At 34.5% G+C, this 26,992-nt stretch overlaps 1 protein-coding gene across 2 annotated transcripts in view; it reads right to left on the reverse strand.

Moving 5' to 3' along the window:
• EDIL3 (EGF like repeats and discoidin domains 3) overlaps nucleotides 1-26,992 on the reverse strand; it is a 444,327-nt gene that overhangs the window by 160,754 nt on the left and 256,581 nt on the right. For both annotated transcript variants that reach the window (NM_005711.5, NM_001278642.1), the window contains one exon: nucleotides 5,342-5,523. In NM_005711.5, coding sequence (NP_005702.3) covers nucleotides 5,342-5,523 — 182 coding nt within the window. The remainder of the gene's footprint in view (nucleotides 1-5,341; nucleotides 5,524-26,992) is intronic.

The raw sequence follows: 26,992 nt of genomic DNA on the forward strand, positions 1-26,992 counted from the left end.
TCTAAATTTATAAAGTGATGATAATTACACCTACTATATGGAATTATTCTGAGAATTAAATTTAAAAATCACCCAAAGAAGATTAAAAAATTCAAGAGGTTGTTACTGAAAAAACTAATAAAATAGATAGACTGCTAGCTAGATTAATAAAGGAGAAAAGGGAGAAGATCCAAATAAACACAATTAGAAATGACAAAAGAGATACTACTAATAACCATCAGCAACTGCTGTGAACACCTCTGTGCACACAAACTGGAAAGTCTAGAAGAAATGGATAAATCCCTGGAAATATACGCCCTCCCAAAACTGAGTCAGGATGAAATTCAAATGAGTAGACAAATAAGAATCTCTGAAATTGAATCAGTAATAGATAGCCTACCAACCAAAAAGAGCCCAGGCCCACATGGATTCACAGCTGAATTCTACCAGATATACAAAGAAGAGCTGGTAGCATTTCTACTAACACTACTCCAAACAATCGAGGAAGAGGGACTCCTTCCTAACTCATTCTACAAGGCTAACATCATCCTGATACCAAAACCAGGCAGAGACAAAACAAAAACAGAAAACTTCAGGACAATATTTTGATGAATATCAATTCAAAAATCCTCAACAAAATACAAGCAAATTGAATCCAATAGCACAACTAAAAGCTTATCCACCATGATCAAGCAGGCTTTATCCCCAGGATGCAAGGTAGGTTCAACATATGTAAATCAATAAGAGTGAATAATCACATAAACATAACTAAAGACAAAAACCACATGATCATCTCAATAGATTCAGAAAAGCCTTCCAATAAAATTTAACACCTCTCATATTAAAAACTCTCAATAAACTTGGTACTGAAAGAACATACCTCAAAATTATGAATCACCTATGATAAACCCACAGCCAACATCATACTAAATGAGCAAAAGATGGAAGCATTCCTCTTGAAAACAGAAATGAGACAAGGATGCCCTTTCTCATCACTCCTATTCAACATAGTATTGGAAGTCCTGGCCAGGGCAATCAGGCAAGAGAAAAAAGTAAAAGCCATCCAAAACGGGCAGAGAGGAAGCCAAAGTATCCCTGTTTGCAGAGGACATGATTCCATATCTAGAAAACCCCACAGTCTAGGCCCGAAGGATCTAGGAAACCCCACAGTCTAGGCCCGAATGATCCTTAAGCTGATAAACACCTTCAGCAAAGTCTCAAGGTAAAAAATCAACATACAAAAATTACTGGCATTCCTATATAGCAACCACAGTCAAGCCAAGTGCCAAATCAGAAATGCCATCCCACCTACAATTGCTAAAACAAAACAAAACAAAACAAAAAAAAAACGAAAAAACCCTCCTAGGAATACAGCTTATCAGGGAAATAAACAATCTCTACAATGGGAACTAGAAAACACTGGTCCAAGAAATCAGAGATAACACAAACAAATGGAAAAACCATTCCATGCTTGTGGATACGAAGAATCAAAATCATTACAATGGCCATACTGCCCAAAGCAATTTATAGATTTCAATGCTAATCCTATCAAACTCCCAATGACATTATTCACAGAATTAGAAAATACTATCTTAAAATAGCCAAGACAATCCTGAAGACAACAACAAAAATAAAACCCCCCAAAAGCTAGAAGTATCACATTACCTGACTTCAAACTATACTATAGGGCTACAGTAACCAAAAGTACTGTTTTGATACTGATACAAAAACAGACATATATTCCAATGGAACAGAATTGAGAGACCAGAAATAAGGTTGCACACCTACAACCATCTGATCCTCCACAAAGCTGACAAAAACAAGCTATGGGGAAAGAACTCCCTAATCAATAAATGATGCTGGGATAGTGGTTAGCCATAGGCAGAAGATTGAAACTGGACCCTTTCCTTACACTATATACACAAATCAACTCAAGATGGATTAAAGACTTAAATGTAAAATCCAAAGCTATAAAATCCCTGAAAGACAACCTAGGCAATACCATTCTGGACAGAGGAAATGGCAAATATTTCATGACAAAGAGACGGAAAACAATTGCAACAAAAGCAAAAAATGACAAATGGGATCTAATTAAACTAAAGAGCTTCTGCACAGAAAAAGGAACTATCAACACAGTGAACAGACAACCTACCGAATGGAAGAAAACTTTTTCAAACTATGCATCTGATAAAGGTCTAATATTCAGCATCTATAAGAAACTTAAATTTTCAAGAAAAAAAACAAACAACTTCATTAAAAAGTGGGCAAAGGACATAAACAGACAATTTTCAAAAGAAGACATACATGCAGCCAACAATCATAGGAAAAAAACCCTCAAAATCAGTTATCATTAGAGAAATGCAAATGAAACCACAATTAGATACCATCTTACAACAGTCAGAATGGCTATTACTAAAAAGTAAAATAATAATAGATGCTGGCAAGGTTGAGGAGAAAAGGGAATGGTTATACACTGTTGGTGGGAGTGTAAATTATTTCAACGATTGTGGAAAGCAGTGTGAAGATTCCGCAAAGAACTAAAAACAGAACTAACATTCAGCCCAGCCACAGCATAACTGGGTATATACCCAAAGGAATATAAATTGTTCTATGATAAAGGCACATGCACGCCTATGTTCACTGTAGCACCATTCACAATAACAAAGACATGGAATCAACCGAAATGCCAATCAATTGTAGACTGGGTAAAGAAAATCTGATACATAGACACCATGGAATACTATGCAGCTGCAAAAGAGTCAGATCATGTCTTTTGCAGGAACATGAATGAAGCTGGAGCAAACTAATTATCCTTAGCAAACTAATGTGGGAACAGGAAACCAAATACTACATGTTTTCCCTTAGCACCACTTACAGTGGGTGCTAAATGATGGGAACACACGGACACATAGAATGAAATAACAGATAGTGGGACTTACCTGAGGGTGAAGGATGGGAGGAGGGAAAGGACTAGGAAATATAACTAATGGATACTAGGCTTAATACCAGAGTAACAAAATAATCTGTACAACAAAAACCCCATGACATGAAGTATACCTATATAACAAACCTGCACATGTACCCCTGAACCTAAAATAAAAGTTTCAAAAAAAAAAAGAAAATTGGTAAAGTTTTGTAAAAAATAACATTAAAAATATATTATTAAAGAACACAATTATAAAATGAATACATTGAATATAATTCCTAAAAATTTATTGAATAACAATAATTTTTAGTTTTTCACCCATTATATTTGAGGTTCTCACTCTAATATAAAACCTTTCATGTTTACTTTAGCTGTTTTTCTCTGAGTTCATTATCATCTTCAGACCAAAAGCAAATTATCATCATCCCACTGACCTTAAAAGTAAAATAAGTTTTAACTATTGTTCTTAAGAGAATAAATCTAAATTTTTCTCAGTGTTGATCACTGTCCTGTTCGATTAAGGTTATTTCTGCCTACAGCCACTGGGATAAAGGGAATTAAAACTTCACACAATACTTTGAAAGGAAGAATGATGCATAGTGTTAAGTAGGCAATACTGGGACAAAGTAAAGTGAACAATCGGATATGAAACATTAATAAGGTGTTTCTCAGAGTAAACACTGGAAAAGCATGCTACTTATGGTTTATAGAAAGATGGCAATCATTGAAGCTCACGAACATAATTTGCCAAACAGAAACCCTGATGTAAACTGGTGATATCATCTCTCAACTGTTCTGAATTTTGGCTATGAATATTAATGTCTAAAGTTTTATCATGACCACAGTCCTACAAATGCATTTCAACTAGAGTGATTAAAAATGTCTCTGGAATGATTATTCATTAGTAAATATGATATAATTATTTTCTATTATTCTGTGCATATTTTAAACCTTAATCGATCCTTCACAAGTGTGATAAAACTGTATAGATGTGCCATTTCCACTATCTGGAGTTCATTTTGCACATGTTGCTATAGATTGAAAAAGTCAAGTGTAACTTAAGAAGCAATTTTAACAACTTCATGTAAATATAAATTCATAATACAAAACAAGAACTTCAGGCAACCTTATTAGAGCTCTATAGATAAAAGAAATGTTTATGAGACATATAAGAATGCCTAAGAAATCTGAACAAAGAAAGTATCTGAAGGAGATTTTGGCCCAGTTTTTCAAGTATGGAAGTCTTGCCTCTTAGCCATAAATCAATTTTCGTTTATACCAAATGCCTGTAAACTAGTTCTTGTATAGTACACCTAATTATGTCACATCAGGGATTTCCATGTTTCTTTGACTTAGAATACGTAGTAAACAGATAGAACAGATCAATCACCTAAACTAATCAAAACTCTGCAATATCTCCCTACTCTACTGAAATAAGGCTAATACCTTTTAGTATGACTCCCGAAGCACAGCAAACTCGTACAATGAATTTGAACACATCCCTCCAGCAACCTTTACTCTAGTCATGATTTTCTACAATATTCCCCAGATTGTCATGTAGCATCTTTAATCAGGCTGTTCCCTGGATGTTCAGTCTCTACTGAAAGCCATCCTTCTCAGGCCTAGCTCAAAAGCTATCTGCCCCAGGTGAGTTTCTCAAGATAATTAATGAATTCTTCCTCTGACCACAGAATACTGAATTCTTCCTCCCTTTAGTACACATCAATGACTTGTTAGATGGTTATTAATGTGCTTTCCCCAACAGAGGTTTACTCTTTCACAGACATCAGTTTTGATCATCTTTCTGTACTCCTAGTACATAGTTCATCTAAATGCTCAAAAAGCATTGAAATGTACAGAAATATAAGCTCTGGGCCTTGCTACCCCCTCTGGGAAATCACTTAATATTTCAGTATATTGTTGTTTTCTCCTGTTTTAAAAAATAGCTGGTTGATGAGAGTGAATAACACTATGAAATGAAACACCCTCAGCTTGAAAGAAGGTGCATTTGAGGTATTGTTATTATGATGCATGGTATATTTTATACTTGCATTTGTGGACCCACTTCTTAGAGATAGAAAACATTGATATAATTTTTATGTTCTTAAAGTATCATAAGTTGCTGCTAAACGTTATCACAGTGGTAATGAACACACAGTATACAGAAAGTCTCCTGCTTTGATATGCACCTTAAAACAGTGATATTTATACCTGAATATTTTTAACGTTTTTGATCTCTTTAACTAACTTCTTAATGGAATGTGCATGTTTTTTACTTCTCAGAATTGGGAGCTAATTTGAACTCTTCACTAAATTACCCTTTCCTCTGACCATAAGGAAGAGTCACACTGAGTTCCCTTTTGTCTGCTTTTTAAAATGACCAGAATCATTTAAAAATGACTTATAACATTAACCTTGTCCCATCCCATCTGTTACCTGAATCCACGGCCATCTGTCATTTTCTGCAGCTGTCCACGCATTTATAAGCCCCTTCTTATTAAGACGTGCATAGTAGGGATACCATTTTTGGAGTCCAAAAAGAGCTCGGTGAGTAGAGGAAGCTGTGATTTGCTGGTTTGATATAATTCCACCTTCAATTCCCAGTGGGCCTGAGCATTCTGGAAACAAAAACAGGAAAAAATATGAATGTATTAGAAACAATGCATATACAACATGTGTCTGTTCGATTTGATAGGATTTTTTTAAATGATTTGAATTTGCACCACCATGCTATTTACTCTTCATCCCCTTTACAGATCTGTTATCGATCTCTAAATTAAGGAAATAATTCTTGCTTCTCATGACCCTCTCTTCCTTCTTTGCTTTGAAAGTAGTCACTTAATAGACACTTCCCTTCTGCATTATGATTCTGGTTCTGTACTGATAGCTTCTGGTTGTTGATCACGTCAACAAAAGCATAATGCTCTTAAAAGGCTTATCTCATATTTTATATTCCCGGAGATTAGCATGCCTCACAAATTATAAGCTCTCAACAAATATTTTTCCATCCATTATTTCTTTATTATCATAAAGCTGAGCTTTTTTTCAAAGTTATTTTTGTACTAATTTAGCATTTCTCACTACTATAAACTTTATAACTTAAATTTTTATACCCACCATCAGTTATGCTTCCACAACAAAAGGGAAATGGGTAAATCTGTTAACATTTAAAAATATTATTATAATACCCCATGATATATTATAAATTATAAAATATATGTAGACAAATTATTTTTATAAAGAGAGCAGGTAAACTCTCTGACAACATTATACATGACAATGTGTACAACTCAGTAAATCAAGATATTAAAATACTTATTAGCACTTTAGTTTCAAATTCACAATTCTACATATTGGGATTCTGCATGTATATCTTCACATTTGCAACTGAGAAACTTAAGAAAATTTTCCAATGAAATTTTAAAATACTAAGATTAAAACACATTATGCTCAAATGATATGTTCTCAGATACCAAATGTATTTAGTTTTTCAAATTAGAAATGGAGATAAATCCATCCTTAAAAAATTACATATATATTTGTATTATATATAAAATTATATATAAATTCTTAATTGCGTTATAAAATTTCAGCAGAAGGTACATTTCTTTTAAATTCAGTTTTGAAAATTCAGAATAAGTAGGGATATGATATAAGGAAAAGATGTTCTTAATTTCATTAACATTTCATATACTATACTGAATATTTTGCCAATTTAGATTTGTATAATATATACGATAATTGTATTATAAAAATATACTACAATAATTTATCAGAATTTATGAAAATAAGAAAGAAGTTCATTGCTACTACTAAATATCAGTATATGAAAGTCAACTTGATTGGTGATTATGACCAAGTACATTTTAGATTTTAATTACTGTCAAAATCCAACATTTGTCAGTAATTAAATGTTTACACTTAGATTGAGGTTGAAAATAAGAAAAAATATTAGGAGCCAAATTATAATATTTTTGAAACTTAGTAAGATATTTCTCACTGTTAACCATATTTTTAATTGTCATAAACATGGTAAGTAGCTCTGATGGCTTTCAAATTTTTAAATTTTTTTATAAAGAAGATAAAAATATATGGATAAGTAATCATCTTAATCAGACTGTATTAGTAAAGACAACATTAATACAGTAAAAATTGCATCTTTGCCATTGACAAAAAATTACTTGGTATGATAAATTTAGATAATAAGATCTTTTTTTAACATGTAATTAGGACTGCTTAGCACTTTATGAAAGTATACTATATCACTTTAGAATCATTAAATTAAGAAGCCATTCATTAGTAGAATTGAAGTCTTACGAGCTGCAGATGATAATCTGATTTTCACATTCCCAAAAACTTAACGTTAAAAGTTCAGATATTAATTCTTTGGACCCTTATTTTGCTTTCCATTTTAAACTTCAAGATCTTTACAGACTTCATAAACGTACTAAGAAACTTTCATGATGACACTGTGACTTTAGTAATGGCAGGAGCCTAGCTTTTTAATAATATTGTCATCAAAGGGGTCTCAAGCATCTTGTCCTTAGTTTGTACAATGTTTGGATGGAAAAATGAAACAGGCAGGGAGATCTTTTATTGCAGGCCATTTATTGTAGGCCAGTAAGTAGACTAGCAGAGCTAGAGAGCCAGAATTGATTAATGAGCTGTATGGCAGACTTAAAAATAACTCTGTGCCATTTAGTTGTATACCTCTAAAGACCTTATGCTGAATTAGATATCTTCACAGAATTTGTAACTATTTTAAAGCAGAGAGTAGATCTCAAATCACAATATCCTATAATTCTACTTCATTGTTTAATCTATCAACCTCCCTTTAGTAGCTAACATATCAGGAAACTCATTGACTTTGAACTGTTGTATTTATCAGATAAGCCAAATACCAATGAGCGATTTTGAAAATATATATGTGCAACTCACTCTGCCATAAGGTTCCAAATCTTTGCTATGCTCTTTAGTCCTGCATATTAATTCTTTCAAAAAACATAATTCAAGCTGGGCGCAGTGGCTCATGTCTGTAATCCCAGCACTTTGGGAGACCGAGGCAGGTGGATCACCTGAGGTCAGGAGTTTGAGACCAGACTGACCAACATGGTGAAACCCTGTCTCTACTGAAAATACAAAAATTACCTGGGCATGGCAGCATGTGCCTGTAGTCCCAGCTACTCAGGAGGCTGAGGCAGGAGAATCACTTGAAGCCAGGAGGCGGAGGTTGCAGTGAGCTGAGATCACACCACTGCACTCCAGTCTGGGTAACAGAGTGAGACTTCATCTCAAAAAACAAAACAAAACAAAAAAGCAAAACAAAAAACCCTCCACAATTCAAATAATATATATTGACATGATATATTATAGGGTTATATCTTATACAAAGTATTTTTGCATGAGCTATTTCATTGCCATGATGTCAAATTTACAAGTATCACCAGTCCTCGATTCTATATTGTTGCTTTAAACAAACAAAAACAAACAAAAATACCCCCCAAAAACCAATTTCCAACAGTTGCATACCACACTCTGTCACTTACATATAGTCAAAAAAGGCCACCAAAGGAAGCATGACTGTGATGGGGATTCTTGAATGAAGTGTGAGTCTGTGAGTTGTCAAGGTACTGCCTTGAGTTAGTGATTCTGCATTTTCCTACTTTTTAAAATCGGGGTTATGATGACACTTAACTTATCAGTTGTGAAGAAGACAAGATAATGAAAGCTTTGCTTTTGGAGCTATAAATTGCTGAAAAAATAATGAGCTTGGTTCTGTAAGGTTATTTTCATACTTCTTTTTAGAGGACCTCAACTGAAGTAATCCTGGCTTTTTAGCCCCTTTCGAGTAGGAGCTAGGTATTTCTCACTGTTATATCCTTAGATGCTCATGGTGGCTTGTACACAGGAAAAGCCCAATAAATATGCACTGAACGTTGTTATTGGGGGCTTTTTTTGCTTCTAAACAGTAAAGTAATAAGCAAATCCAAGCCTTAGATTTATTTCACTCTGCGAAGTTGTCACAACAGCAGATTTTCTTCACTAATCATGTGGACCACAATCAAATGGATGTCATCACAATAAAAAGTTCAAAATCCAATTTCCTTTTGCCTGTGCTATCCACTTCCCCCATATCCTATTAAATTCAACAGTTATAAAAACCAGTGAAGGAATTACAATTCAGAATGCAAATGAATATACACCTAAGATTAAGTGACCTTAAGCAATTAATAACAGGATGCTTAAAAAGAAAGATAATATGAAAATATACATTGCTTTTACTATCAACAAATGATAGAAGATATATGAAATGATAATTGATGAAGTAATCAATGTCAGATGAGAACTCTGAAGTTTGAAAAGTGTACCCACATGTGTTTTCTCATATAATCTTTGAAATAATACTTCAAGAAAAAAATGTTTTCAGGACTATTTCATGAATTAGAAAAATTGTGAGGATGGAAGTTAAGCTTGTAAAAGATGACTGTGTAATTTAATGTGGAGAGTTCAGTAATTCTTCAAAATTTGACTCGGATCTTTTCCTTCTGCTATATTATGTGAAGCATACATACTTATGCATCCTAGGGGAGGCAACAGGAACATTAACATGGAATGAACATACAAGATATCACTAGTAACACTGAGGATGTAATGGAGTTTTCACAAGTTGGGATCCACTGCAACAGTACATAATGTATGGCACTGATATGGTATGCCTCTGTGTCCCCACCTAAATCTCATGTTGAATTGTAATCCCTAGTCTTGGGGGAGGGACCTGATGGGAGGTGACTGGATCATGGGGACGGGCTTCCTCTTTGCTATTCTCATAATGGTGAGTTCTCATGAGATCTGGTGGTTTAAAAGTGTGTGGCACGTCTCTCTTCACACTCACTCCTGCTGCCATAGGAAGACATGCTTGCTTCCCCTTTGCCCTTCCCCCATGATTGTAAGTTTCCTGAAGCCTCCCAGCCATGCTTCCTATACAGCTTGTGGAATGGTGAGTCAATTAAACTATTTTCTTCATAAATTACCCAGTCTCAGGTAGTTCTTTATAACAATGTGTGAATGAACTAATACAGGCATTCAGTCACAGAATTAAATACCTACAGTTTATAGTGTGTCTGTCTCCTAAGGTGTTAAAATTAACCTGATACCATCATTGGCTTATACTCTGCTTATCTAATACGGATAGGCAAATTCTGTTCTTATTAATTTATTGACCTCTAAGTATATGCTCATCCACCCATCACTCCATCCGTTCATTTAATTCAGTTTTGAAAATACGTGTTTATTGAAGCCCTTCTACATATTTGGCACTTTTCTAGGTAGTAGTGACATAGGGATAAATAAGGCAGAAAAGGTCTATGCTCTTAAAAGATTCACATTCTAGTGGAGAGACAAATAATAAACAAACACTTAAACAAGAAAATACCATGAAGTGGTATGTGCTATGAAGGAAAAAAAGAAGGGTGAATCAAGTGTGGGTGTCAGGTGATCAGAGATGGCCTTTCTGAGAGGTTACACCAAGTCTCATCTCTGAATGGGAAGAAGGAGCTGGCTATGTTTACAGTACTGGTTTCCTCAAGGGGCTTCAGTGTAATGGGGAGACACAGAGAAATAAGAACATTTTTATATAATATGGCAGATATTGTGTTGGTGAATGCAGAAGATTCAGTGGGAGAAGAGAAGAGGGAATAATAACCTAGCTTGGGGCTCTGGGAATGATTCCCGGAAAAGAATAGGAGCTTGCATAGTGGAGAGAGGAGACAGGATAGACACAGGCAGGGAACAGGCTGCTATGATGAGGGAATTAGAGGCAGTTCAGTATCACTAGATCAAGATGGGTTGGTGGGGGAATGGTTAAGAGATGAAGTGGAGAAGTAGAAAAATGCTAGATTATTTTGCAGAAGACGGTGATGATAGAATTTGGTTCTGTTAGTGATGGGGAGTTTTTGAAGGACTCTATGGCCACATTTTCATTTAATTTAGATCATTCCCACTGTGCCATAAAGAGTAGATTTAAGACGGGACAAAACTATGTCCAAAGAGTAAGCTACTACAGTTGTCCATGTGAAAAATAATGCAGATCTGAAAGAGGGGCGGAGAAGAGGAAGAGTTCAAAAATATTTAAGAGGTAAAAGTAGGCAGAACTAGTAATGATTAGATGCAAGGTAGAGGAGGGAAATGGAGTGTTTGAATTTCAAAGGGTCCAGAGAGCAAACATAGGTGTTTCCTTTCATTGAGATTGGCCACGTTTCACAAATAACATCACTGGACCAAATTCCTCTCTTAAAATTTATCAAAAATCATTCTTGCTGTTGGATTGAATGTGGGAGGATCTGCTTGTCTTACCTTCCTTCTCTTGCTATACTGATTTTGGTGGGCTACTCTCAACATCTCTCATATCAGTCAGGCTGCAGGGACAGGATTGAGATGTAAAAATCTGCTTCTATGCTCAAACCATGTCCAGTACTTCCCTGGTCCACAACTCATCCACATGTTTATGTGTGCCCATCTGTTTTCTCACAAGATAGAGAACCCCTTTGTAGGCAAAGATTATATTCCTCACAGTATCTAGCAGCAAGCTTCAATTTCAGTGAACATTTAATAAATGTCGGTAGAGGGAATTACTTCTAAAAAATAAATATGAAAGGTAAATAAACAATACAAATGGCAGGTAATATGGTACCATTTTATTTGTATACTTCATTTTTAATTAAAAATCATTTACACTTACACTTACATGCTCTCAAAGGTACACAGATATAGAGGCCTTCTTTAGAAATTTTTTTTATGATGAGTAAAGAAGAGCACTTGTTTACTATTTAAAAAAAATGTAACTGATAGTGGTCTGTCTGGGTCTCTTCTCTTTCAAATCGCTGCCACACAGCATTACCAGGTATTTCTGAAATTCCCCATTGTTACCTCTAGAGAGGGCATAGTGGCAATTCGATCAATGCTGAATACAAAAATAGAATACGGTAGTAGAATATGGTAGTCTGCATTTCCTGGCTGTAAGATCTGTGTTTATGCATCCTTGGTATTGTGCTTGCTTTTGTCAGGTACGACAATAATCCTAAATTAATGAGTCCATTCAACATTGGCTACCAGAGAATTTCAGGCACCTTTTATACAGTCATTTAAAATAATTACACTGCCTGAATTGTCTGAGTAGACTGGAAGTGCCTTCTGACCTGACACCCTGCTGTTCAGACTAATACTGAGCAAGTGAGTCACCTGGCAGGTTGAGCAGGAGCAGCTGGGCTAGCTGGGGGCCAAACTTCAAGTGCCTCCCCATAGCAACTTTTCTGCTTTGGCCAAGAGGGATGTGAATAAAATAGCTTCAAAGTGGAGTCCTTCTCACTCTGCAAATTCATTCTCTGGAGTATGGCAAAGAATGGCTTCTGCATTTTATTGATCTTGCAGCTGACAAGTAAGCAGTGCCTCAAGATGTCTCGCATCTTGTTCCTGAGTGTGCTGATTAAGCCTTTCAAATAAGTGAGATGCACAGCTGAATCCGCAACAGGAATGTACTGCTTTCATTTGCTCTATCTCAATATCCAGACATCTTCAGAATGAAAGGATTTCAAATTAAAACCATGTAAGAAACAAATCTCCTTTAAACATCTCCAGTCCTCCCTTTCTCCGAGCATCTCATCTTATACGAGTGAGTCCTCTGCTGTGCTTAATACAGCGTGATAATTGTGCTGAATGCAAGCACTGGTGAATGGATTAGTGATGACCTCCAGTACTGCAGAAATTAATGCTGATTCAAATGTAAGCTTTCCTCTGTGCCACTTGGACAACAGCCTTTCTTTTATTCCTAGCATTTGTTTTATTTTAGAGTTGTCTTGAGACCAGGCTTTAATTGGTGAGGGAGGGATCAAGGCTACTCTTTCTCACGCTGTGGCCTGAGGGTTTAAAGGAACCCTAAAGTTTTTTTTTTTTTTTTTTTTTTGATGAGTCGTGTCAGCTAAGCCCCCATGCATTTGATTTGATTTCTCTCAAGGCTATCATTTTTCTGGTGTGTTAGGAAGTTGTATCAGAAGAAAGAGGTCAGGGGATGGAGTGAAGATGAGAAGTTTAAGAAAGGGTGATTCGGGAACAGGGCCTGAATATTCCAGTTCAGGTGTAGGAGATGGAAAAATGGCCAAAAAGTTTCCCGGATACAGAGTGAGAATGTGAAGGTAAACATGCACAACACAGCCTTAGCTTCACTTACTCATTCCCAAATTCCTGCAGAGCACCCCCTGGGTGTCAGCCTCTGGTTATGGCACTGAGAATAATCACCTTCAAAGGAATTAGAATGAAAATTCCACTTGGTGATGTTCATCTCTCTCCACACTGAGATTGCTTCTTTGTATTGGGGTATAAACATTACATACAGTCACAGTAACCTTCCTTAGGAAAACTAGTAATTGAGAAATCCTTAATACTGTTTTCAAAAATTAGTTAAACTTACTTGGATTCCATATAAATTGCACGTGTACCTTAAAGAAAAGGCTGTTTCTTCCTATCAGATGGGCAGCATAGCTTAGATAAATGCTAATTTTTCTCACAATTGTGAATACTGTGATTCTGTGGTATTTCGCTGGGAAAACATTCTCTCAATTTTATTACGACCTATATTCTATTATTTTCCATATTGAAAGCTCAGAAGGTGTCCAGGTTAAATGAAGATGAACAGCAATTTGTGCATTTTTTTTCCCTCTGAGACAATATGCTTCTTACAGGTAGAGACGATGCCTTTTGCATTATTTAGGTTTTCAAAGCACTTAGCACAGTGCTTACAAATGGGCAGCTCTCAATATTACGGGATAAAGTAAACTAAAACAAATCATTGCTTTTTGGAATTACTTTTCTTTCTTTTTTGAAGGTGGATTAGTCCTCTGAATGTAGATATTATCACTCTAAGGATTCAACATACTGGGTGGGTGTTAAAATCGGAAATGCTTTCTTCATATACTGGCAGGCTTAAAAATATATAAGAATCAGCTCTTGGAGGTAGGGGAAATACTATATTTGGAATGAAAACCACATTTATAAAGTCACAAATGCAATTATCAGCCATCTAGCTATTTCCTTTAAAATGTGGCTATGTTTTCTTCACACTGTGTGTTATCTCAAGCCAATTATGATATATTATCAGTTTAAATTAATTGTTTTCAATTCAGAAAAAAATGAAGCCCATGAATAAGCTAAACTATAATAAAAATTGTCTATTAATATTTCTCAAATTGATTTGTGAGCATATTGATGCAGAATAATGGTTATTATTTAAATAGTAGAGCCTATGAACTCCAGTATTCAAAGGCCAAAATTCTTATTGAGATAATTCACAAAAGTTGACAAAATCTAAGACGATTATCCTCTTATCACAGTAAACAGTTCTGCTGTAGGACAACAGAAGAGTTCATTGTAGTTTGCTTAAGATGTATTCTTTTAAAATGGAAGAGTATTTGGATTTTTCATGTGGTAAAAACAATATGGATTGATGAAACATTTGTCTGTAAAGTCAAAAGCCTGAAATTCAAAAACCTGTAGCTGTACACCTGTTCTTGCTTTCTGACAAAACATATATCTACATAGGAAAGAGCTAAGAAGGGTATAATGCCAAGGTTAAAATGCTAAAAGAGGGACTGAGTTGCTTGAAGAAACATGAGTCAAATACAAAATGTAAACATCCATACAGTGCTTGTAGAAGACAGATTCCTATGCTTTTAAGTTATTTATATGTTTTAAGATTTTTTGGCAAATGCACATCAGGCTACGTGCCCTAAGGCATTGCCTTTGATGTTTGGTTATAAAGCAATATTACTGCCATGTCAGGCACTGATTTTTATTTGAGAGATAAATCATAGTACCAAACCCAATTACCAGCTATATCTAGTTATTTTGTTTTCTGTACAATGTAGTTATCTTTTCTTCACACTGGATGTTAATTTAGGTCTAGTATGAAATTTTAGTGTTCCAGAGGTCAAAAAAAAAAAAAAAAAACCCCAAGAGATGAAACAGGAGGCCATTGCAGGTGCCAAGGAAAGACATACTGAGCTCTGTCTAATACTAGCACACTTCGAAAAGTTGTGGAAGAAATGACAGAGAGCAAAATGGAGCCTAGAAAAGTATAGTAGATGATTTGTTCATTTGAATTCTAGAGACATCTATATTATGCATTTACTTTTAAAAATGTAAGAAAATATTTTTCATTTAGAAGATAATAGGTAATACCTGCATAATCAGAAAAGTATTAGGTTGGGTCAGGGACCTAAACATTCTTGCAATTAATTTCAAAGCCTGCTCTCTAAGTCACAACCTCAGCTGTGCTGTGTTTCATCTTTCCAAATTAAAAAAAAATTGCCAACATTTCCAGTATAAAGTTGAAATAGAGGATGAATTCTTGATAATATGTATTTACTAATTGAACCTTCCTACAAATAAAATTGCCACAAATGTTTTAAATATTGTATTTACAGTGGCTTTGGTAATCCTGAAAGGAATAATTCAACATAGAACTTTAAACATAACAAATGTAAAGCTACTAAAACAAAGGATGCTTTACCAATTTTATAAAAGAATATCGAGAAGGATTTAATAGAGTAACAATTTTATTATAAACCTGTTGAAGCTAAGCCAGCTTTTCATACATTATCTCTTATTCAGTAGAGATTCATACTGGATGTGTTTTATCAGTAATGAATATGGATCAGCCTATTGAAATATGAAAGTTGACTTCTGTTTCTTTTCAAATTTATTGTACGTAATAATAAAGTATACTCTGACATTATGTAGTATCCAAGTTAAGTACTTATTTTTTTTTTTTTTTTTTTTTTTTTGAGACGGAGTCTCGCTCTGTGGCCCAGGCGGGAGTGCAGTGGCGCAATCTCGGCTCACTGCAAGCTCCGCCTCCCGGGTTCACGCCATTCTCCCGCCTCAGCCTCCTGAGTAGCTGGGACTACAGGCGCCCACCATCACGCCCGGCTAATTTTTTTTTGTATTTTTAGTAGAGACGGGGTTTCACCGTGTTAGCCAGGATGGTCTCGATCTCCTGACCTCGTGATCCACCCGCCTTGGCCTCCCAAAGTGCTGGGATTACAAGCGTGAGCCACCGCGCCCGGCCAAGTACTTATTTTTGTTGAACAATATTTGTAGTAAAAACAATATACAGAATTTGCTAGTACTACCCAATAATACATACATACATACTAAAATCTTTAGCTGCTGAAATGGGTATGGAATATTAGTTGTGTTCAACAAAATATCCATAATGGGATAAATTACTATTTTCTAAAATGTTGCAGCAGAATACATTATTGCTATAGAGTTTGGCCTAGTGATTAAGTAAATAAACAAATATACTTCTTATAAACATATTAAAAATATATGACAAATGCAAAGTTGTAAATAATCCTATGCTTGTCCATTATGAAGTAGTAAATTTTGAAAAAAAAAAAGCCCATAATAGAATTACCTGCTTACCTTAAGCTTTTAAAGAAAAGAGGACTTAATACTTTTTTTTTCATTTTGGCTTTATAAAAAAGACTAATTTCTTCAGAAGCTTTCATCCTGCAAATGTTGGCTAGCTCACCACTCTAGTAGGTTAATTTATGGGATGAACCAGGAACTAGGTAGGGACTATAAAGTCACAAACATAAAATGATGCATATTCATTACCACAAAATAAAAATAACAGAATTAATTTCATTTCTAAAAAATTTTGTACAAATGAGAATAGTGACTGAATTTTCTTAGAAATCATTATTTTTTAGTCCAATGCTTCAAAAAACAGTAAATGGATATTTTTTAACTTAATAGTCTTATGGATACAGCAGGATATAGTCATTCTTTTAATATACAGGGAAGATAAATTGCATAAAAATACACAAAGCAAACCAGAAATATAAATTTTACCTTACATTAGTAAGAAAGTATCTCATTAATTGAACATTTTTATTTAATTACTAAAATCCTCTTAAACTACAACAACGAAAAAAACAAAAAAAGGAAAGATTGTGTGAGTGAGCTAAAAATTGCTCAGGCAGGGGGTTATGGTAATATATCCTTAGTGCCTTCATATTTTGAAAAGTTATCAGCTCAGCTAACTAAAGCTACATAGATAAAAGATAAAAAGAAAATAGAATCACTCAGTTTATATTTATAGATTAATTAGATTAATTTATAGGTGCACAACTTCATCAGATCATACAATTTACAAATGCAGGTAATTTAATTGGGAAATAACTACGGTAACAAGTATAGTGTAGTGGTAACTTATAATATACATAAAGCACCTCATTGAGTCTTCACAAACTTTCTATTATATCATTTTATCAAAACTGTTCCTCATTGGAATTTTGGTTAAGGATATGAAGGCAAATACAGGTGCAAAAATCTCTACTCTGAACAGAACCCTAAAGAAAAAGTGTGTCCTACTTCATGGAAGCATTTCAGTTGTGACGCCAGAAAGTTTAGAGTTGGAATTTCTACCCCACTACTTAACAGCTGTGTGGCCTTGGGGGAATTGTTTAATCTTTCAGCAGCTCCAGATTAATCCAGTGGTGTACAAATTTTGATGCACATTAGGATTACACAGGAAGCTTTAAAAATTCCAATGCCAGGCCACATCTCATACAGTACCAATTCAATTAGAATGCCTTGGGGTACGAGCCAGACATATATATTTTTAAAGTTCTCAGTGATACCAATATACACCAAAATATGGGAACTGTGCTGGTTAATAATGTGTATTCCAGGGAGAATAACACCCATTTTACAGGTTTGTTTCATAAGTTTGAAAGAATACATGGTTAGCACATAGTAAATTATATGGCAACCAATATACCTTTAGTAAATGGTAGCTTTTACATTGTTGTTGTTTTACCACAATAAAACAAAAATAAGAGATAAAAAGTCGTAGTTGGAGGAGACTGACCTCTTTTACTACCTGGAGACACATGGTTTAAACATATGCTACCAGTTCAGCCATGTTTTACATGCATTTGGTTTTTTTTTTTTTTTTTTTTTTTTCACAGAAATGAAAATGGAGTAGAACATCTACTCCCATTTCCCATGCAAAATGTTATTCAATAATAAAAAACGTGAATACATACATAAGCACGATTATTAATCATGAGCTGTTACCAAAAATGATTCAAACTATCATGCCACTTGGCATCTCCTTAATACCATATTTATCATCAGATATTTCTGTCACCAAAGCATTCAAATTGTCAGATAAAAATCTCTGCCTGGGGGAAATATAAACTATGGCTTCTTGTAATGAATGAAAATGAAATGATTCCCCACAGTTTATTGCCAGACTCACTGGAAATAAAAATTACTAATTAAATAATCTTAGTTTAAAATAGGTCTGGGTCTGTCAAGCACTTTTCTTCATTGTGGTACAAAATGAGGATGTCCTACGGAAAAGTTTCATATTAACACTTTGATAAATCAGATTACAATTCTGAAAAGCACTTTTATAATCGAGTTTTTCCCCCACTTTAATATCTGAGTAATCTTATCTTTAGGATAAATGGAGATAAAGTTTTACCTGCTGGCAGTTTTGTTGGAGCAATCAACAAAATCTCATTTCTTGAATTCCACAAATGAGAGTAAAGTAACAAACCATTTCCCCCCAAATTGAATAATACCTGATTTCTGTATCTTCAGCATATCCTTTTTTTTGTTTCATCATGACTTATATTTGCAATAAATTTGAGAAGAATGTTAATATTCATTGTTTCTGATTTCTAAGGACATAAAGGGGATGTCTTGGGAAAAAAATTCACAAAATGCCCCTTGGTACCCAGCCAACTCTTTTCATAATCTGTTTTTGAGATTTTTAAAAAAAACTATGCATAACTATTGATTTCTTATGAAGTGTCACATAAAGAAAGTAAAATGAGACAGTTTCAGAAAAAAAGTATGGTAAATTCAGGAATTGCACACCTTTGCACAAGAGTTGTCAAAAGCACATGATAAAAAATTTCAGGTGGTACAATAAAATATTCTGGCTTTTTTGTTCTATATATAGGAGTGTGGCTTTTATTTTGATACAGAAGTCAAGTGGGTGGCAATATCCACTTAAAATCTCTAAAGAGCTGAGTGATTATTCTTAATATATTTGCATCTTCCTTCTCCAGTCATCAACCTCAGCATTGCCTAGCACTTGGCTGACTAGTGGTTGAAGATGAGATGGATGGAAGGAAGCTTGATAAAACACTACTTTAAATATTTTATCATTTTAATAAAGATTGTTAATATAACACCTGGAGTTTAGGACTCTGTTTCCTTACTCCTTCAGATGACACAGATGCCGTGGCATGAAAATCATCTAAAAAGAGCAATTTTTTTCCGTTGTCATTATTAATTACTTGTCCATGACTAAAAATTCCGTTTTACAAATAAAATTAGAAATTCCTAACCTTCCTATTAGTTTTGTTCTTGAGTATATCCAAATATCATCCTGACTGGAAGACAGCATTTTGAAAGTGTATCAGTAGCATTAGAAAACAAAGATAGTTTAATCACATGAAACCAAAGGAAAATGTCTTTATACAGGTCTCTTTTTCATGAAGACATGGGCTGAGTATGATCTTTTTAAGGTTTGACTGCACACTCTGAAGCCTGTTGGGGTTAGAAATACTAAGCACTAAGTAAAAAAAATATGAAAAGGAATAATGATAATACTAAACACCTGTGTTCCTAAAAGGTCTGTAATTTCAGCAGAAAGATTGCCACTGAGTCCTCATTCATACATGCCAATGGGTAACAGTGACAGTAGGGAGGGGATTACTATAAAATGAAAAGTAAATCAGGCTGTTTTAATGATTTAGAATTATATTGTGCTATTGTCTACAGTATACGTTATCTGTACAATTAGTTTATTAAGGAGGTGGATATTCTCTAGTGATTATACTCTGGTGTACATACGTTGAGCATTCCTTACGAATCTGGGTCTAACCCCTCCAACTTAGTTTCATTGCTATCTGCTTAGTTGCTGAAAGTGAGAAATCAAAATACTGATAACTAATTCAGAAGCTTCTATCTGGAAAAGATTTTAAAACAACAAAAATTAATATTTTAAGTGAAGTTGTGAATAAATGGTATTAGTTATATCAGCTATTAAATTATGTGCTAATTTCACTGCTTAACTCATTCTCCTATTTGTCCTCTCTTTTCTCATCTAGCCAATTCTGTTGTAGCCCAGAATCTCACTGCCAGTACTACCGCCTCCTTCTTCTTAATGGCGTCCCCTTTATTGATCCTACACACTGCATTCAGAATAAACTTCCCCATTATCTGACCAGTTCACTAACTTAGATCGATCTATCTATCTATCTATCTATCTATCTATCTATCTATCTACATTTTTTTTTCAATAGGTCCCCATTGGTCAGAAAAAAAAAAGGTCATCCTCTTGGCTGCTTGAAATTTACCTTCTAGCAATATCAAACTGCAAACCTTAGACTGAATTTTACTTAGATGACAGTGTAGGAAGTATTTTTGCAGCTCATGCCTCTGTCCTTTTCTTCGCTGTCCCAGCGTTCCCCCAAACAGAGTTATTTGTGCCAATTCTGGGGTACAAAAAGACTCTAAGCATATGTGTATCATAGCACTGAGCATTTAAATATACTTTTAATGGGCATTTATGTATTTAAGAATTTGTCTTCCACATTAGATTGTAAATTCTTCCAAACAACAGTTATATCTGGGTCCTGACCGATAAATGGGCCTATTCCTCGCATCTTATAAAGAGCCTGGAAGTAACAGCTGCTCAAAAACATCATTGATCAATTTAATTGAGGCAAACATAACAGACAGTATCTCCCTCTAGGATGGTTCTCTACCTTGCAATGCAAACTCTTGCAGCATTTTACCCATTCTCACCTCAAGTGCACTTCACTCTTGTATATCTCCTCATCCAATATCTTTCTCTTCTGCAACTAAGATAAGTAATATCTAAATGTGTTGATTCCCTTGTTTAGGTGGACTGTCCATAACTCTTTCCTGCTCCCCTTCCAAAGGTATGGATTTATCTTTTCTCTCACAGATCTTCCTAAAAAATACAAATGGAGCCTGCACATACATACTGCAGAGAAAAATATGTCAGGCATTTTGGCCTTAAAACAACCCCATGGAGAGTATCTTTTTATTATTATTATTATACTTTAAGTTCTAGGGTACATGTGCACAACGTGCAGGTTTGTTACATATGTATACATGTGCTATGTTGGTGTGCTGCACCCATTAACTCGTCGTTTACATTAGGTATATCTCCTAATGCTATCCCTCATGGAGAGTATCTTTATTTCCAATTGTAATTGAGGCAATTGAGACTCAGAGAGGTTAAGTAACTCCCCTAAAGTCTTACAGCCAGGATTTGAACCCAGGTACATCTATTACCAATGGGTCATGATAAACATTGTAATGACACGCTGGGGGTGTTCTGTTTGCTGCATATGCCTTAAGGAGTGTGGAGAAACTATAAAAAATGATGAGGAGGGCACTTAGATGTCTTGTTTATGAAGATGTAGGACAGTGATCTAACTCACTTTGTGTTCTCCGTCACCGTTGTTCTGCCGTGGTTGGACTAAAGATTCAACATGGACTGTTATTCATTCAACATTTAACTAATATTTATTGAGCCTCTTCTTTGTGCAAAGCAGAGGTATAACATTTAATACTTTAGTTTTCTAAGATTGAAAGTGATTTTACAGCTGAAGCAGGTTATTAGAAACTAAATTCAGAATAATTTTATAATGAGACATCTGTAGACTAGGAACATGGTGAACTGCCTACCTCAAGAACTTCTACAGCCTTATTTTTCCTCTCTCTCACTGTGTATTTTCTCTCTACAATTTAATAACTATTTTCACATTTCCTCTTTTAAGAAAGCCTATTACAGCATAGTGCATTTTTCTCTGTTTAAGAAAATGCCTCAGGATAAATTGTGGAGGCAATTATTTTCAATGCTAACATCTTCAAACATGAAACCAGCATCTGGGCAATTATGACATTAGTCTGATTTAGCATTAAAAGGTAAAAGTTTATGTATAAATTTCAAAATTTTAAGCATTATTTTATCAAGAATTTTGTGTCCCAACCACAGATCATTTTTGTTGCTGTGGTTAAATTTGTTTCTAATAGTCTTGTGTTTCATGTATGTACACAACAATCCTTAAATGAATAAGCAAATACCAATTAAACATTCATATATGCATAAACTTGGATTTTGCCTGTATATTTCTCTTTTCTATCATATTCACGTTAATGTAGAGCCAAGGCTCATTATCTGTGTCAACAGATTAGAAAGTAAATTGAGTAAAATAAATCAATTGATTATGTTTACTTCACACACCTTGCAATCATTTGAAAAGTTAGTTTTAACTCCCATTTCTCAAAAGCATGACTAATTAATAACATGAATTATTAACTGAAACATGATTTTTATAGGTTTTTACTTCTCTCTAGTACTTTATTGTTAAGGTAGAATACTAAAAAAACATCATTTCAATGAGTAATAAAAGCAGCCTTGTAGACAATTTACTTGTCTATCCAGCTCCTAAAATTTCAAAAACTGTATGTACTGTCATATTCTTGGAAGCAGTGGAGGTGTGACTAGAGTGAAAAACAGTAGTTCCTTTTTACTTACATGTTGTTAAAAAGTATAAGACCAATACTATGCAGTTTTCTACTATTTTTTCTTTTATAAAATTCAGTTTAAACTTGGATTAAATGTATCCAGTTGCCTGTTCATTATGTTTAAACAAGTGTTTATCTGCTTCCCAATTTTACACCAATCAAAATAGATGAAGGTAACTTTCTCCCTAGAGAATTCTTACTAAACTCAGAGACATCTTAGCCACTCGACTGCCTGAACTTATCAAATGCCCAACTTATCCAGGTATGCATAAAATACTTATGCAGGTATTTTAGGTATTACCAAAGAGAAAATTAAGTACACTGAAGAAACAATGTCTATTTTACCGACAAATTTTAGATCGGAAAAGGGATTTGGCCAACCAGACACAAGGGAAGACACGTTGTAGAAAGAACCAAGTAACAATATGTAAATATTATATGCATAGCCTCTGATGGTATGTTACATGTGTCGATTTAAATGAACTCCATTTTAGAATGAAATAAAATTGAATAATTAATTTTGTGGTTCCCAAGTATTCCTGTTCAGATATGGAATACTTTTGTAATCAGAAAACATGTTTAAGAAAATTTTAATGGACCTTTTGTTCAAAACAGGTGAAATGTCAACAGTTTTCCAAGTGAAAACTCTATCGGAGATGCTATTGTCACCTGCTAAGTGGCACAGAGATGCCCACTAGAAATTAATTGATAGATAATTGTGCATTAGAAAAATTACTTTATTCTTATCATATTGGCTTATCAACTTCATTGGACAGAATTTTATGTGTTACTTTGTATATTGTTAGGTTAATAATACTGCTACCCAAGGAACAAAAAAAAATAGTTTTACTTTTTATGATTAGACCAAATACCAGAAGGACACGGTTAATAGCTTTGTGGGAACTTTTGTAGTGTTTTGCATAATGAATGAACTCACCAAAGCTCCTATGACAAAATCCTCCTGACTACTCAAAAGGTTAAATGTGTATAAATAGATGACATTTTCCTATACTATGAAGAACAGTTGAATAATACTAAATGAATTGTTTTCCTTCTCAGGTACACTTATAAACTGACTGCTTTCTTGGTGTTAACCTTTTCATGCACAATCCCTTGAACTACTTATTATTAATTAATATGAGGAATATTATTAAATTTAAATTGATCATTCATGAAGACAAGGATGCAGAGTAAAAACAGAGAGAAGCAAAAGTTCTAAAAGACTATAGGGTCTACAAATAGGAATAATGAGAATGAGACAGAGGGGCCAGAAACCCGAGTAGTATGTAAACCTTCATCGTAATGTGGTTAACATACAAACTTGAAAATAGTCCTCATTTTACAGAGGTAAACTGAATGGGTCTGTTTTCTTGGAATCAAAAATACCAGACAAATGTATGTCAGAGCAATATTTCCAGTGACTTAATATCAGGGATCATGTGTCAATTATTTTGATGTTTGTCTCATCACTTGCATGATGTTATTGCCACAGCCATTTTGCAAAATGTCTAAGTTTTTAGACGATAAGTCATTTCTATTGTTTTAAAATTCCAGTTTGACACCTGGAAGTCTGCAAAAGCTTAACTTCCTTAAAGAAAGAAGGTCATGTCAATGATAGCGTCATATATGTCCGGGAAGCATACACTTCCTTAAATAACTCTAGGTGTGAGTGAACTCTGATACAAGAAAGGAACTAAATCAAAAAAGAGAATTACATGTGTGTTTAGTGGCAGTACCTTGATGATTTGAAACTGATGTGCACATTAACTAGAAATTTCACTAAGTTAACAGGCGGACATTCTCCCTCCCCCTGCCCCAAGTACGGAGTGATCCCCATTACTTTATACATAATCCTATGATTCTGAAAAACTGGTATGTTTTGGTGAACTCTTATACCAGCTGCATTATTCTAAAGTGATGGTGTATAAGGCATTGGAAAACCAAAGAACTAAATTGATTATGAAATTTTACATGGATAATAATCACTTTTAAGGAGACTGAAAAGGTTCGGTTGAATATGCTCAACTTCAGATAGCAGCCCCTGAGCAGCAGGTGATGGGGAAGGGGATGTGGGGGTGAACAGGTGATGGTTGCTCTTTAGTTTACCTCTTTTCCTTAGTCTTTTAAATGTGGGTTCAAGTCCATAGGGTAGGTAATTTAGAATACATCATCTCTCTACAGGTTACAAAGTGACTAAATCTGCACAGTTGAGGAGAAGCAGGAATGAATTCAATAAAAGCTCAACCCTGCTAGTAAGACCTCTGTAAATACAATGACAAAAATATTGCTTACAATTTCATCGTCTGCTATTTTACTTACATGTTTTTATACATGGAGCTAGAGAACAAAATTCAGCAGAAAGGCCAGGACTGGACATTCAATGAAAATGGCTCATTGACAGCTTTTATCTCCAAAAGCTTCATCTACATTATTTTGGGAGAAAATATCTTTTGAAACAGATAAACCATTAACTCAGGTTTCTAAACCTTTTTTATAGTATGGACCTTTTTGTCAGTCTGGTGAAGCCTAAAGACCCTTCTCAGAATAATGCCTTCAAACATATAAAATGAAATACAAAGAAATTGAAGGCAATCATCAAAATATTTAAAAATATGTGACTTATCAATGTATATGCTGATCTATTAATACATTAAGTAGTAGCAGATCTACTATAGTTTCATATTAGTGAAAAATGTCAATGTTATTTTACATTTGTGACATGTATTATGTGAAATGAAAATATCTGTGATTTCTATTAGTGACAAAATCATAGGTACTGCTAACACTATGATTGGTTGTTGCCTATATTTGTAGTTGATGAAAATTTTAAATTTCAGTCATCCAATAATACAAATAAACAGATGATTTTTATTTTCTCATCAAAGGACACTTCTGTCCACCTATCCTTTGCGATCCTTACCTAGGGTTAAAAACCTTGCATTAAGCACTCACAGAGTGGGACTGAGAATGCCCTTATATTAATCCTTGTAGGAAAGTGCTAATGTTCTGGTAAACGGAAAACTATTAACAGTGGCAGAATCCAGAAATAATTCTATTGGAAAAGGAAATAGCATTATTAAGTTACTGCCAAGTAAGTATGAGGCAACACTTATATACCAAATTGTCATTTCGGGGATGTTTAAAAATTTTTGTGTCTGCCCAAGTGTACCAGAGAAAATATAAAGCAAATTTTCTTTTGAACAAACCACCACAAATATCTCTGGATTTTTCAGAGCTAAGAGCTGCGGTTTCAATTTTTCGGGATTTCGTAGTTAGATAATAGTGCTGAGTATTTATAGGCTTCCTTATATAACTATAGTTCTATCCATTTTTCTTGTCAGAATAGTTTATTTTCTGTCCCTGCTCCTGTTTTCCTTGAATTTTAGTATTGGATTTACTGACTTTGCTCTGGCTCTCCTTCTTTTTATAGAACCATATTCCTCAAGTTCAATTTATTTTTAAGTTGGATACTTTATGTTTCCATTCCCTTTGGAGCTCTAAAAAGAACGTGTATTATTGACCAGATAAAGCTATTAAGGTAACTATTATGAAATTTCTTTTTAGGACTTTAGTCACCTTAATGGTTCTTTGGGGTTTAAGATATGCTCAAAGTAGAGTGCACCATAACCTGGGAGGAGCAGCCTGTGGCTATTATTTTCTACTCAGCATCTGCTCATTCTGGAACACTTGCAATCTGGCATTCTTCTCTACAGACACACAATTATATAAGGGCCATTAATGGTTTTAGCTTCCACATTAAAAGTATCTTTTCTTAGGCCTGCATTTTCTTGACCAGTTCCTATTCTGGAAACACTCTTTTCCTTGCTCTAATTCTGTATTCCTCTTCTGTTTCTTGGATTATCCTTTTATTTTATTTTTTTCGTACCTTTGCAAATAGAACTTCTTTTGCCTGATTTAAATTTTATCCTTAGCCATTTATACTTTTTACTCTCTTACTTTCTCCCTTGGCAATGCTATCTAATCTTATCACTTCATCATTCTCATGTGACCTGTAAATCTGAATCTTTGTTACCAATGCTTTCCTTAACTACAATATGCATTTTTAATAACTAGCTGTACTATCTTATCAGGATGTCCCAATTGCACCTAAAATTCAATATGCCTAAGCAGTGAAAAAGGTTGCTGTGCCCTCATTCTTCAGTTGAAGAAGATTGCTTTGAAGGTGGGAACTCAAAACATGTATTTGGCTTTATGACTTACATGCTGCTGGAAACCATTACTTCCAAGTGTGCTGATTCAGTTGAAAACTGCGGCTAGGGTCACACTAGCTGTTGCTGTCACTGCCAAACTCAGCTCCATAGTTGCCAGTCAAGTTTTATTGCAACCATTTGGAACCCTTGAGAGCTCAGGAAATCATGCCATCGTTTGAAAAATTGTGCACATTTGGTGAAAGATCAGGAACCATCTATATTCTTTCTTCTC

Source organism: Homo sapiens, chromosome 5 (genome assembly GCF_000001405.40).
Source record: "Homo sapiens chromosome 5, GRCh38.p14 Primary Assembly".
NCBI classification, from domain to species: Eukaryota; Metazoa; Chordata; class Mammalia; order Primates; family Hominidae; genus Homo; species Homo sapiens.